Genomic DNA, 13113 nt, shown 5'->3' with positions numbered 1-13113 from the left:
AGGATTAAACAAACTAAAAGTTATTAAGTGTATAGAACTGTTTGGCGCATAGTAAGCTCTTTATAAGCATGGGCCATCACTATCACTACTATTTTTTAAAGGATATTTTAACATTAAAAGAATAAATGTGGCATTTTGAAATACTGTTTTGTCTTTGTTTACCAATGAAAATTTTATTTGGGATCTCCATTGATTTATGCTCCAGCATTTGACCTAAATAAATGTCATGTCAGTAACCATTAACGTTATCTATAAATGCTTTCATTCATAGTGAGCTAACTTCTTACAAAAGTAGTCTGGAAATTCTAAAAATGCCATCTGACATGTTTTATTCTATCATGATCTTTGGAAATAAGTTCAACTCTTTCATAAGTAGCAGATGCTCACTGAAGATGTTATAATCGAATCTTGATAACAATTAATAATTTATGATCTACCTTTTGTTTTACCAAATGGGTAGACATTTATATAGCCTGTGGTAATGACTATACATAGAAATGATAGGATTCTGAAGGCAGTCTTTGGGGGATGAGCAAAAGTCACGATGAGCAGAATCAAGGTTCCTCTTAAGAAATTAAAAATAAAATTGTCCTATGAGATTAAACTATAAATCAACATATGATGGCTATGAGTAGTGGTAGGCAAAGTTCCTTCAAGAGACAGAATGGGTCTCAGGCTAGCTTAAAACTTAATTGAACATATTAATATAAAGAATGTATCAATAAGGCATTTGTGGGCAGGTACATGACGGAGGGGTAAGAGACAGTAATGGAAACAGAAAAAGGAGAACTGCTTGTAGGAAGATGTTGCAGTACTTAGTTAAGGAACACTAAAATAAAAGAGCAACAAGACTTCTATAGTGATTACTGTGTGTTAGATACTATTCTAAGCCCTGTAATTTATTAACACATTTAATCTTTGGAATAATCCTGTGAAATATGAACTACTACTTGCCTTAAATGTGAGGAAACTGAAACAGAGAGGTTAAGAAACTTGCCCAAGGTCAGACAGCAAAGTAATAGAACAAGAATTTGAACTAGGCCAGGTGTGGTGGCTCACACGTGTAATCCCAGCACTTTTGGAGGCCAAGGCAGGTGGATCATGAGGTCAGTTAGTTGGGCATGGTGATGGGCGCCTGTAATCCCAGCTACTCAGGAGGCTGAGGCAGGAGAATCGTTTGAACCCGGGAGGTGGAGGTTGCAGTGAGCCGAGATTGCGCCACTGCACTCCAGCCTGGGTGACAGAGCAAGACTCTGTCTGAAAAAAATAAAAGAATTTGAACAAAGATAGTCTGGCTCCAGAGTCTGTACTCTCAATAACTGAGTCACATGCTACACTGCCCAGAGGTGACAGGGCTTCATCAGGCTCATCCAGAAGTTCAGTTTGCCCTGTATGTATTCATGCATTCATATTCTGAGCACAGCCTATGGATGATGTTACCGATTCAGTGGTGAAAAAGGAGTCATATTTCTGTCTTTCTTTCTGAAACAGAGTTAAAAGCACTACATATAATTAAATCCCATAATATGGTTCCATTATGTAATCAACCCTCAAATAATTGGTTATCAATTGTAGCCTGCCTGTATGGAAAGAATGTGTCAGTCAAACCAATACAAACACATGGCCTGACTGACAGCTCTCTTTCCATTCTATATCATTTATTTGGTATGCTGGAATTCATTCTTTGGGCCTATGTGTTGATGAAAATCAGCATTCCTGAGCCTGATGAGCCCTGCAACACTGATGATATCCTTTCTACTTCTGTCTTAGAATTGTCTCGAGGCTACAATTAAATGATATAAGCTCGTTTGTTTATTTAAACAAAGTATATTTACACTTATTTTCAACAAGTATCTTAACAGTACTTACAAATTCTTCCAATATCTTCAAGGTGAGCCGTTACTTCTGATTCACTTTTGGTCAAACAAGGATGGTGAATGTGTGGAAACACTTAAGTTAGTACCCATGTAGTTGTTTCAACTGAAGACTTACAATTGCATAAAAGTTTATTAATTTTGGATAAATTATGTACGCTACTTTTCATGAACCTAACACTTTAATAAGCTGTTTAAAAAAAATCTCATACAATGGTGACCTTTCTTGAATATAGTTCTCTTAAATCCTAAGAGGAAACGGTATTACTCTTTGGCCATAATACCAGCACACCTCATTTTATTGTGCTTCACTTTATTGTACTTTGCAAATAAAGAGTTTTTTACAAATTGAAAGTTTGTGGTGATCCCCAGTCAAGCAATTCTATTGGTACCATTTTCCAACAGCATGTGCTCACTATGAGATGGTGATATGGTTTGGCTGTGTCCCCACCCAAATCTCATCTTGAACTGTAGCTCCCACAATTCCCACATGTTGTGGGAGGTGCCCGGTGGGAAGTAATTGAATCATGGGGGCAGGTCTTTCTTGTACTGTTCTCATGATAGTGAATAAGTCTCACAAGATCTGATGGCAAACTTAATAGATAAATGCTATGTGTGTGGTCTAACTGCTCCACCAACCAGTATTCCCCCATTTCTCCCCATCTCCTTGGGCCTCCCTATTCCCTGAGACACAACACTATTAGGCCAATTATTAACCCTATAATGCCCTCTAAGTGTTCCCTATAATTAATAACCCTATAATGAATGCCCTCTAGGTGAAAGGAAGAGTCGCAAGTCTCTCACTTTCAGGAGTGTCCAAGGGAGAGAATATAGGCATGGATTCTTAGTTTCTGTTTCTGGTTGGGCCAGTAAAACCCCTTCCTTATCCCTCTTTTCTGCTTATTACTAAAGACAGAAACTAAAAGCCATGGCTTCAGGCTGCTAAAAGCCTAAGACAAAACAAAACAGAACAACAACAATAAAATAAGGTGGGTTGGAGAAGCTTGCAACCAAAAGCTAGAAATAGTTAAGCTTAGTGAGGAAGGCATGTCAAAAGCTGAGGCAAGCTAAAAGCTAGGCCTCTTATGCCAAACAGTCAAGGTGGGAATGCAAAGGAAAAGTTCTTGAAGGAAATGAAAAGTGCTACTCCAGTGAACAACATGAATGATGTGAAGGTGAAATAGTCTTATTGCTCATATGGAGAAAGGTTTAATAGTCTGGATAGAGGATCAAACCAGCCACAACATTCCCTTAAGCCAAAGCCTAATCCAGAGCAAGGCCTCCACTCTTTTCAATTCTATGAAGGTTGAGAAAGGTGAGGAAGCTGCAGGAGAAAAGTCTGACGTTGCCAGAGGTTGATTCATGAGGTTTAAGGAAAGAAGCCATCTCCATAACATAAAAATGCAAGGTGAAGCAGCAAGTACTAATGTAGAAGCTGCATCAAGTTATCCAGAAGATTTAGCTAAGATCATTGATGAAGGTGGCTACACTAGACAACAGATTTTCAATGCAGATGAAACAGCTTTATATCAGCAGAAGATGACATCTAGGACTTTCATAGCTAGAGAGAAGTCAATGCCTGGCTTCAAAGCTTCAAAGGACAGGCTGATTCTCTTATCAGGGACTAAATGTAGCTGGGTGACTTTAAGTTGAAGCCAATGCTCATTTATCATTCTGAAAATCCTAGGACCTTTAAAACTATCCTAAATCTACTCTGCCTGTGCCCTATAAATGGAAAAAAGCCTAGATGACAGCAACATCTGTTCACAGCATGGTTTACTGAATATTTTAAGCTTACTATTGAGAAGTACTGCTCAGAAAAAAGGATTCCTTTCAAAATATTACTGCTCATTGACAATGCACCTGGTCACCCAAGAGATCTGATGGAGATGTACAGGAGATTCATGTCCTCATACCTGCTAACAAAATATCTATTCTGCAGCCCATGGATCAAGGAGTAATTTTGACTTTCAAGTCTTATTTAAGAAATACTTTTTGGCCAGACACGATGGCTCACGCCCGTAATCCTAGCACTTTGGGAGGCTGAAGCGGGTGGATCACTTGGGGACAGGAGTCCGAGACAGGAGACCTGGCCAACATGGTGAAACCCCATCTCCACTAAAAATACAAAAATTAGCTGGGTGTGGTGGCGTATGCCCATAGTCCCAGCTACTTGGGATGTTGAAGCACGAGAATCACTTGAACCCAGGGGCGCAAGTTGCAGGAAGCTGAGATTACGCTACTGCCCTCCAGCCTGGATGACAGAACAAGACTCTGTCTCAAAAAAAAAACAACAAACAACAACAACAAAAGAAATACTTTTCATAAGGCTATAGCTGCCACAGACAGTGGTTCCTCTGATGGATCTGGGCAAAGTAAATGAAAACCTTCTGGAGATGATTCATTATTCTAGATACCATGAACATTCATGATTCATGGGACGAGGTCAAAACATCAACATTAAAAGGAATTTGGAAGAAGCTGATTTAAACCCTCATGGATGACTTTGAGGGGTTCGAGATTTAAGTGGAGGAAGTCACTGAAGATGTGGTAGAAATGGAAAGAAAAGTAGAATTAGAAGTGGAACCTGAAGGTGTGACTGAATTGCTTCAATCTCATGATAAAACTTCAACAGATGAGGAGTTGCTTTTTATGAATGAGCAGAGAAAGTGGTTTCCTGAGATGGAATCTACTTCTGGTGAAGATACAATGTTGTGAACATTGGTGAAGTGACAATAAAGGATTCAGAATATTCCAAAAATGTAGTTGATAAAGCAGCAGTAGGGTTTGAGAGGACTGGCTCCAATTTTTTTTTTTCTTTGACTCATTCTGTCGCCCGGGGTTGGAGGGCAGTGGCATGATCTTACCTCACTGCATCCTCTGACTCCCAGGTTCAAGGATTCTTTTGCCTCAGCCTCCCAAGTAGCTGGGATTACAGGTGTGTGCTGCCACTTGCAGCCAATTTTTGTATCTTTAGTAGAGACGGGGTTTCACGATGATAGCCAGGTTGGTCTCGAACTCCTGACCTCAAGTGATCCAGCTACCTCAGCCTCCCAAAGTACTGGGATTACAGGCATGAGCCACTGCATCCGGCCTAGGATTGACTCCAATTTTGAAAGAAGTTCTATGGGTAAAAATGCCACCAAATAGCATCATGTGCTACAGAGAAAACTTTTGTGAAGGAAGAGTCAACTGATGTGGCAAACTTCATTGTTGTCTTATTTTAAGAAATTGTCACAGCCACCCCAGCCTTCAGCAACCACCACCCTGATTAGTCATCAATACACTGATTAGACATCAACATCGAGGCAAGACCCTCCACCAGCAAAAAGATGACTTGCTGATGGGTCAGATAACTGTTAGCATTTTTTAGCAATAAAGTATTTTTCACTTAAGGTACGTATTTTTTTTTTTTAGGCATAATACTATTACACACTTAATAGACTGTAGTACAGTGTAAACATAACTTTCATATGTACTGGATAATAAAAAAATTCATATGACTTGCTTTATTGCAGTATTTGCTTGACTGCAGTGGTGTGGAACTGAACACGCAGTATCTCTAGAGGATGCCTGTAAAATCTCCCACAAATATTTCAGAAGTAAAGGATACATTTGGCTTTCTTTTGGGAGTTAATGTTCTTTGCTCAAATCTTTCACTATTATTATAGTAACAATGTATAATTTTAACCTTAAAGATGCTAACTTTATGAATTTTTAATAACTTTTCTGAAAATTTTATATATTATGGATTAGACTAATATTCCTAACACACATTTACTTTTCAAATACCAAAATATTAGATTTATACACATAATACACATTTACTTTCACACACCCAAATCCAACCATTGTAAGTCTATTTAAGCTCTTGAATGGGATTAGATCAACAGAAGCATGAAGATGAAAGGAAAAATAATCATTACCAATGATAATTTTAAAAACCTGTTTACTTTTTAACTTTGAAAAGATACATGCAATAAAACTGCTTTCCAAGTGTATATAAAGTAAATAAAGAATTAAAGCTGTAGTAAAAATTAGAACAAAATTGAGGTTAACTATAGCTTTTCCTTTCCTGATTTCTGTAGAAAAGACTGAAATTCCAATACAAAGCAGAATCTTTAGTTCACATTTTCCCCCAATAATACAACTGTTATATAAAATAAGCATTTAAAAATAATGTTTTTATTTTTAATTTCAATAAAGCAAAATCTAATAAAATAGCATTTCATATGATAAAATTATAGTTTTCCTAAATAAAATAATCCTAATATACTTAAAAACACTCAGAAAATATGCAGTCATAGAAAAGAGTTATATAAAAAGGCCAAAAAAGTCTAAGCAATACATTGGCTTTATTAAATCTAAAATAAAAAATAAATCCTGATAGAACTCATCAAATTTGTTTTAATAAACAAAAATCTACAAAGTGACAGCAAGAGCTTTGATATCACCTAAATATTTTAAAAAGTGAACATGACTATTACATGAAAGAGAAAAATGAAAATACTTTTAGGTTTACATATTATTCCTCCAAGATACAGAATGTTTTCAATGGCTGTCACCATTCAAACGCTGTAAGATGTGGAGTATGAACTTTTCTATATAATTAGGTAAAAATAAAACAGACATATGATGCCAAAAAGGAGTATTCTGTAATATACAATTTCATAAGGTCCAAGTAAGCTTAATTATGAATACATATTCATGAGATTTACTTCTCTATTCTTTACAAGTTGAAATAGAAGTATTTTTATAAATATATTTTCCTATTATTTTTCTTTTAGTATTTACAGAAAATATTGCAGAGCAAAACATCAAAGGTTAATGTTGCACAACTAATACAACCAATACCTGTACTGTGTTCTTCCTACGATTGACTTTCCTTCTCTCCATTGAGCAGTCACATCGCTGGGATCAAGTAAGCCTTCAAAAATATGCTCCCAGAGATACAAGCCTGGTAATTAACAACAAAAACAAAATCAAAACAATTTACTGTCTCATCTACTTTAGTGCATGAGACAAGTTTACGTTCTGTTCTTTTACTCATTTGACTATAAAACCAGAATGCCTCTCCTTTGGGCCGTTGGCAGGCAGTGCTATCAAGCAACAGCTCCAAATCATCAACATGGCAGCTAATGAGAGACAGAGCTCAGAAGCTGTTAGTGTGTAAAATGTGGCAAAATGTGAGTTAATATTAAAGACCTCTCCTACTCTAGATTTGAGAAACCCCTAATTTATATGGATCTTTACCACCTGTCTTATTCTGAAATGAAATGTATTATATTACAAAGTAAACTATACTATGTGGTTAGAACTGCTTTTATAACAGATTGGGGGAGTTGCCATTTTGTGCCAAATGGAGCCAGAGGAGCTCATGTATGTACATATATTAATACATTCAATATGTCAAGGGGATATTACCTCCTCCTCACTTGAACACATATCCCTGAATGCATGATCCCCTCACAGACAAATGTCATTGCATCTTTTCTCCTTATGGCAGCCCCTGATGTTTTATCATGATTTCACCTGAATGAAAGCTCTGAGAGTAGAGGAGAGCAGTGTTACTCAATGAGGCACTATGGAGACCATACACCACCTCTGGGCACCCTGTTTTGGTTACACTCAAAGAGGTTTTTGTTCCATTCTCATTGTACCCTGGTACTAAAGGAAACGCAAGCCACCACGTTTAAAATGTGGCCAATTAGATAACGCTTTCCAAATGTGATGGGTTGAATAATGTCCCTCTGCCCCACCAGCAAAGATGTCCATATTCTAATCTTTAGAATCTATGAATATGTTACCTTACATGGCAAAAGACACTTTAAAAATATGATTAAGTTAAGGATGCTGAGGTGAAGAGATTATTATAGATTATCTAGGTGGGCCCTATGTAATCTCAAGAGTCCTCACACAAGGGAGGCAGGAGTGTCAGAGTGAGGCAAGGGATATATAAAGATAGAAGCAGAGGTCAGAGTGATGTGGGGCCATAAATGAAGGAATACGGGTAGCCGCTAGAAACTCTAAACGGTAAGGAAACAGGTTCTCCTCTAGAGCCTCAAAAAGTAACACAGACCCCACACATTTTAGAGTTCTGCCTTCAGAAAGGTAGGATACTGCATTTGTGGTAATTTGTTATGGCTGCAATAGGATGCTATGGATTATACAGTTAAGATTATGGTACCTGGAAATGAGGTGCTACTGTAACAAATACTTAAAAATGTGGAAGTGTCTCTGAAATTGGGTAATGGGGAAAGGCTGAGAGAACTGTGAGGACATGATTTTAAAAAGCCTAGATTAGATTGCCTTGAATAACCTGCAGATAGAAATATGGATGTTAATGACTCAGCTAGTGAAGACTCAAGAAAGTGAGGTAGAGTAGAGAAAACCTGTATTGTCTTAGAGGATATCTAAATGATCACAAGCAGATTGTTGGTAAGAATATGCAATGTTTTTTTTTTTTGAGACAGAGTCTCGCTCTGTCGCCCAGGCTGGAGTAAGGTGGCATGATCTCGGCTCACTGCAACCTCCACCTCCCGGGTTCAAGCAATTCTCCTGCCTCAGCCTCCTGAGTAGCTGGGATTACAGGCACGTGCCACAATGTCTGGCTAATTTTTGTATTTTTGGTACAGACGGGGTTTCACCATGATGGCCAGGCTGGTCTTGAACTCCTGGCCTCAAGTGATCCACCGGCCTCAGCCTCCCAAAGTGCTGGGATTACGGGCGTGAGACGCCATGCCTAGAATATGCGTATTAAAGAAATTGCTGGTGAGGGCTCAGAAGAAAATCAGGAATGTGTTATTAGAAACTGGAAGGATGAGGATCCTTGTTATATAACAGTAAAAAGCTTAGTTGGATTGTATCCTGCAGTTACATGGAAAGCAGAACTTGTGATAAACTTTAATAATTAGCTGGAGGGTTCCAAGCAAAGTGAAAGGTGTGGACTGGTTTCTTGGTGATTAGTGAAATATAAGAAAAAAGAGATAGAAGGAAAAACTGTTAAGCAAAAGGGAACCAGAATTTGATGATTTGGGAAATTCTCGGACCATTAAGATTGCAAAAGATGTGAAAAATTAGATTTGCTGCCTGAAAAGGGTGTTCCAGAAACAAGACCAAGGATGTGGCTGCACAACCTTTTGCTAGTGCCTCAGAAGGATCAGAAGATCTGAATATTCATTCACACAAAGGGCTCTTTGAAGAGATTATACATGTGACTTACAGGTCTCCTCAGCCATCTCAGCAGAAGCCAGAAATGGAGATGGGATTACTCAGAAAAGATCTGCAGAGGAGCTTCCCATCTAATGGAGTGAATCCTGTGACATACACAGAGGGCCCACAAGGTTCTTCAGAATGTTTTATGAGCAGAAACGCTGCCAGCTTGGACTAAAAAAGACAGCAAGAGGTCACAATGAAAGAAGGCTGATGGGCTCTGAAAATTTTACCAGCTGTCAACAGGCTGATAAAATTACGAAGCTGCAAACTTGTGCTACTTTTTATGAAAAAGGAAAAGATGACTTCAAGAGTGTGGCTGAGATGCCAGAGGGCAAAGCTGTACAACCTATAGATTATTCCTAGGCCTGCAATATCATCTAATGGAGCTGGCCATTTAGATGAAATTTAGATTTCAAAATTGCTTGGACCAGTGACACTTTTTTACTTCAATTTTTCTCCCCTTTTGAATGGGAATTTCTATAACGGTATTTTATAACTGTGTCTAGAGAATAGGCTGATCAAAGTAGCATTTTTCCTGCTAGCAGAGGTGTTAAAAAAAAAAGGTAGCATTTGATGAAATTCACTTGGCCACTTTGCACTTATCAGATTGAAAAGAGAGAAGTCTGGAAATGAAAATCTGAGATTTAAAAGAAGAAATCAATATTAGAGACTTTATTTAAAAAATAATGGCTAGAACTTGATGATTGAAGGCCTGGTTTCAGGTACTTGAAATTTAGAGGTTGGTAGTAATCTTCTAGGATATATACTTGTATGTAAGTATGAACGAATTTATGAAATACCATGAGCAGAGCACTATGCTCTGTACATTTTCCTCTCATCTGGTACTTTCTATCCATATGCCTTATTGTACATAAACCCAACTCATGTTCAAAGGCCACATAAAGCGCTTTCTAAGTCACTAAATTCTTTGTGACTCTTTAAACCCTCAGGGCCCCATTCTCTAATTGAGCATAATATATATCTTAGAACACTACACTCTCATGATATTCACAGCAAAAATGCTTCTGTGGTCAATCAAGTTTAATCAACTACATACTATAATATATTCCTTCGCTGATACAATGAACATTGTCATATTAAAGGCTCTTGAGAAAGGCCTGCAATGAAGAACCTTGTTTAACTTTGTACTCTTCAGTGTTTCCCAAATGTGTTTGGCCATCAAGGGCAGGGGCCACATCTTATACTTGTGTATCAAGTGTCCAAAAAATACACAGATTCATGAAAATTCAGTTGACATATGCATTGCAATCTAATGACACTATACAGCCTACTCAATGTATCAATAAATGAAGCTGTGCTCTGCTAAAGACCAACAGTGGAATATGTATGTGTGTACATTTACAAACAGATGTTGTCTAATTGGAAGGAGAAAGGAATTATTGACAAAAAGCGAAAAAATATATCATGATGCCTTAATTAACAAATTATGAAATAAATTATATTAAAATGAATTTCATATCAATAAAATACATTTTATAATGCTTTTTACATGTCTTCCTTCTACGTATTAACTTACCAATGGCAGCTTTGCCCCAGATTTGTACACTGAGATCTGTTTTTCCTTTCGTGGATTTATCTAATATTTGAAGGCTAGTTTTAAATCTGTGTTGTTGCTCATTTTTTTCATCTCCTTCCCAAGGATTCCATTCTTCACTTTCCAAAGTGGACTGTTCTGTTTTAAAAAGAGTAAGTGTTTACCAGTAAGGTATTATTGCAGTTGTAGGTAAATTCAAATCATTTAAATTAAGTGTTAGTTCTAATTTCATCCTAACTTTAATTTCTGAGAGGTACAGCAACTGAATTTAAACTGGTAATACACAATGAAAACAAAAAAGAAAATCAGCAATTTTTTTACTGAACTTTTTTTACTCTGAAAAGTCTTAGAAATAAAATGCTACCTTGAGACAGGAAAATTCTCTTCCCCAACACAAAACCTTTAAAAATAACAGGATAATATGTATCAAGTTACAAGCTTAACTTTTGCAATTATTTTTATCCATTGTATACAGGTAACCTATGCACAAAAAACTGACTTCAGAGTGTAGTGTTCACCAGTCTTAGATACTATCGTGCAAAATTCTGAATAAAGGGAAAGAGAAAGCCGAGTCTGATCTTAACACAAGTTAAAACACAGGACAGGGGACCAGAATTTGGAGGTAAAGTCTGCCTTATGGTCACTGCAGGATTAGAGAGGGCTTTGTTTCAACATGGAAACGGATGTCTTAAACCTTGCGGCGATTTTGAGGCCTTCCAGGAGCATTCCCGCAAATCTCTGGCATTTGAGACGACGTCTTGGATTTTAACACGTGTTTGAAAGGCGTGCGCGCCTGTCACCCCCTGGGATCGGGAGCGGGGACGGCGTGTGAGATCTGGGTAAGAATGAGGACCATTCTCCAATTCCGAGCCAAGGGCTGGCTCGAGAGGCTGTAGGGGGCAAAGCGCTTCTCAGGCCCTGCGGGTAATCCCGGACTTGAGAGCCGGGTGCGGGGACCCGGCCCCAGCCGCCCAGCAGCCCCAGCCAGGAGCGCAGAGCCGGAAGGAAGCCGCCGACCCAGTCCTACCTCGGCCGCGTCTCTCCCGCGCGGGGGCCGCCCCCTTCCTGAGGCCCCGCGGGGACCCGGCCGGCGCCTGGCGGCGGCGCCCGAAGAAGACGTGGTAGGCAGCGTAGAGGGAGAATAGGCAGTACAGGGCGATAAGAAACGAGCAGAGCCGCTTCCGCGTCAGCCGCATCCCACTCGGGCTTCCAGTCAGGCATCCACCGCCATGGAGCGGGCGGAAAGAGAATCCGCGACACCGGCGGCGTCCGAGGCAGGCCCAGCCCGTTTCCAGGCAGTCCCCAGCCAAGGCTCCTCCGCCCAGCGCCCGGTACAGCCCCGCCCCGGACACGCCCACCGCCCGCCTCCCGCCCAGGCCCCGCCCCCTCCAGTCGCGGCTCATCCACCCGGCCGAGGGCCTGCCCACCTTCGACACTGGAGGAGGGGGTACTGGAGCGGCCCCTACCCCACGCTGCTTCCAGACGCCGGGCTGAGTGGGAACCTCTCTGACCTCTGCCGTGTACTCATTGCACCTTTCAACCCTGGCCACTTTTCCCAAGTACATAAAGACTCGGGGGAAAAAGAACACCCGCGGTGGTCCATGAAGGCCATGTGAAGGCATGGACTGTGACGTTTTTTGCTCTGCATGGAATCCCTAGCGCCTAGGACAGTGCCTACTACGTTGATAGATGAGTGAATATAAACGTCCTTTAAAAAAATTAAGTGATGATGGTCGCTTAACATTGTGAATGTAATTAATACCACTCACTTGTATGCATAGAAATAGTTAAACTGTCGAATTCATGTTTTATATACCTTACTGCAATAAAAACATTTTTAAAGTTAAGTTTCATTATTATGTGAGTTGAACGCACATAGGCATGCAGTATTTTGTCAAATAGAGGCTGTAAATGTGAATGCTTCAGAAAACTTTGTATCCAGCCTTGGGAAGATGGGCTACAATGTTTTGTCAGTTGCTCTGGTACTACTGTTCAAATTACCCAGCAGTCTTGCGACGGTATGTCTGCTAATTAGGGTGACCAATGGTCCCAGTTTGCCCAGGACTGTAAGGATTCTCCAGTTGGAGGATTTTTAGTGCTAAAATTGAGAAAGTCCTAGGAAATCAGTAAAATTGGTCACTCTAGCACCGACCCTAAACTATTAGGTCAAACACTTTACCCAATCCCCCAAACAGTTCCCTGCCTCAAAAGACCTGTTTTAAACCATTTTTGCTCAGACTCCCCAAATCCTATAAATATCACCCCCAACCTTCTCCTTCTGAGACTGCCAAGCTTCTGTCAAAGTGTGGCCTCCCTTACTGTAGTAGATTTAATAAATTTAGCTTTCCTTGATTAACAGGCTATTCTGGTGTCTTAGGGAGATGGCAGTTGTTTTATGTATGCTGTATTGTTGTTTATCCTATTTTGTTTGTTTGTGGAAATGACAATTATTTAAGGATAGGAAGTAAT

The 13113-nt window shown here is 39.5% G+C and overlaps 1 protein-coding gene across 4 annotated transcripts in view, besides 4 other annotated features; it reads right to left on the bottom strand.

Moving 5' to 3' along the window:
• RXYLT1 (ribitol xylosyltransferase 1) overlaps positions 1 to 11892 on the bottom strand; it is a 29654-nt gene extending 17762 nt beyond the window's left edge. The window contains exons 1-4 of one of the 4 annotated variants that reach the window (XM_047428079.1): positions 11672 to 11892; positions 10627 to 10782; positions 6729 to 6831; positions 1870 to 1913 (exon numbers count right to left, since the gene is read on the bottom strand). In XM_047428079.1, coding sequence (XP_047284035.1) covers positions 1870 to 1913; positions 6729 to 6831; positions 10627 to 10782; positions 11672 to 11840 — 472 coding nt within the window. In that variant the 5' untranslated portion in view covers positions 11841 to 11892. Of the gene's footprint in view, positions 1 to 1869; positions 1914 to 6728; positions 6832 to 9096; positions 9261 to 10626; positions 10783 to 11338 lie in introns of those variants that run through there. The other 3 variants (NM_001278237.2, NM_014254.3, XM_047428078.1) reach the window with 3 other exon arrangements.
• Positions 11524 to 11823: a silencer, noted in NCBI's record as "silent region_4615". NCBI's record gives its function as "represses an Ori minimal core promoter by ATAC-STARR-seq in GM12878 lymphoblastoid cells {active_cell/tissue: GM12878}" and the evidence as "EXISTENCE:reporter gene assay evidence [ECO:0000049][PMID:35858748]".
• Positions 11524 to 11827: a biological region, named in NCBI's record as "ReSE screen-validated silencer GRCh37_chr12:64173754-64174029".
• Positions 11552 to 11827: a silencer, noted in NCBI's record as "fragment chr12:64173754-64174029 (GRCh37/hg19 assembly coordinates)". NCBI's record gives its function as "represses an EF-1alpha promoter that drives an FKBP-Casp9 reporter gene in an ReSE screen in K562 erythroleukemia cells {active_cell/tissue: K562}" and the evidence as "EXISTENCE:reporter gene assay evidence [ECO:0000049][PMID:32094911]".
• Positions 11844 to 12073: a silencer, noted in NCBI's record as "silent region_4614". NCBI's record gives its function as "represses an Ori minimal core promoter by ATAC-STARR-seq in GM12878 lymphoblastoid cells {active_cell/tissue: GM12878}" and the evidence as "EXISTENCE:reporter gene assay evidence [ECO:0000049][PMID:35858748]".

This window comes from Homo sapiens, chromosome 12 (genome assembly GCF_000001405.40).
Source record: "Homo sapiens chromosome 12, GRCh38.p14 Primary Assembly".
In the NCBI taxonomy this organism is placed as follows: domain Eukaryota; kingdom Metazoa; phylum Chordata; class Mammalia; order Primates; family Hominidae; genus Homo; species Homo sapiens.
This window is presented reverse-complemented; position numbering and strand designations above follow the sequence as displayed.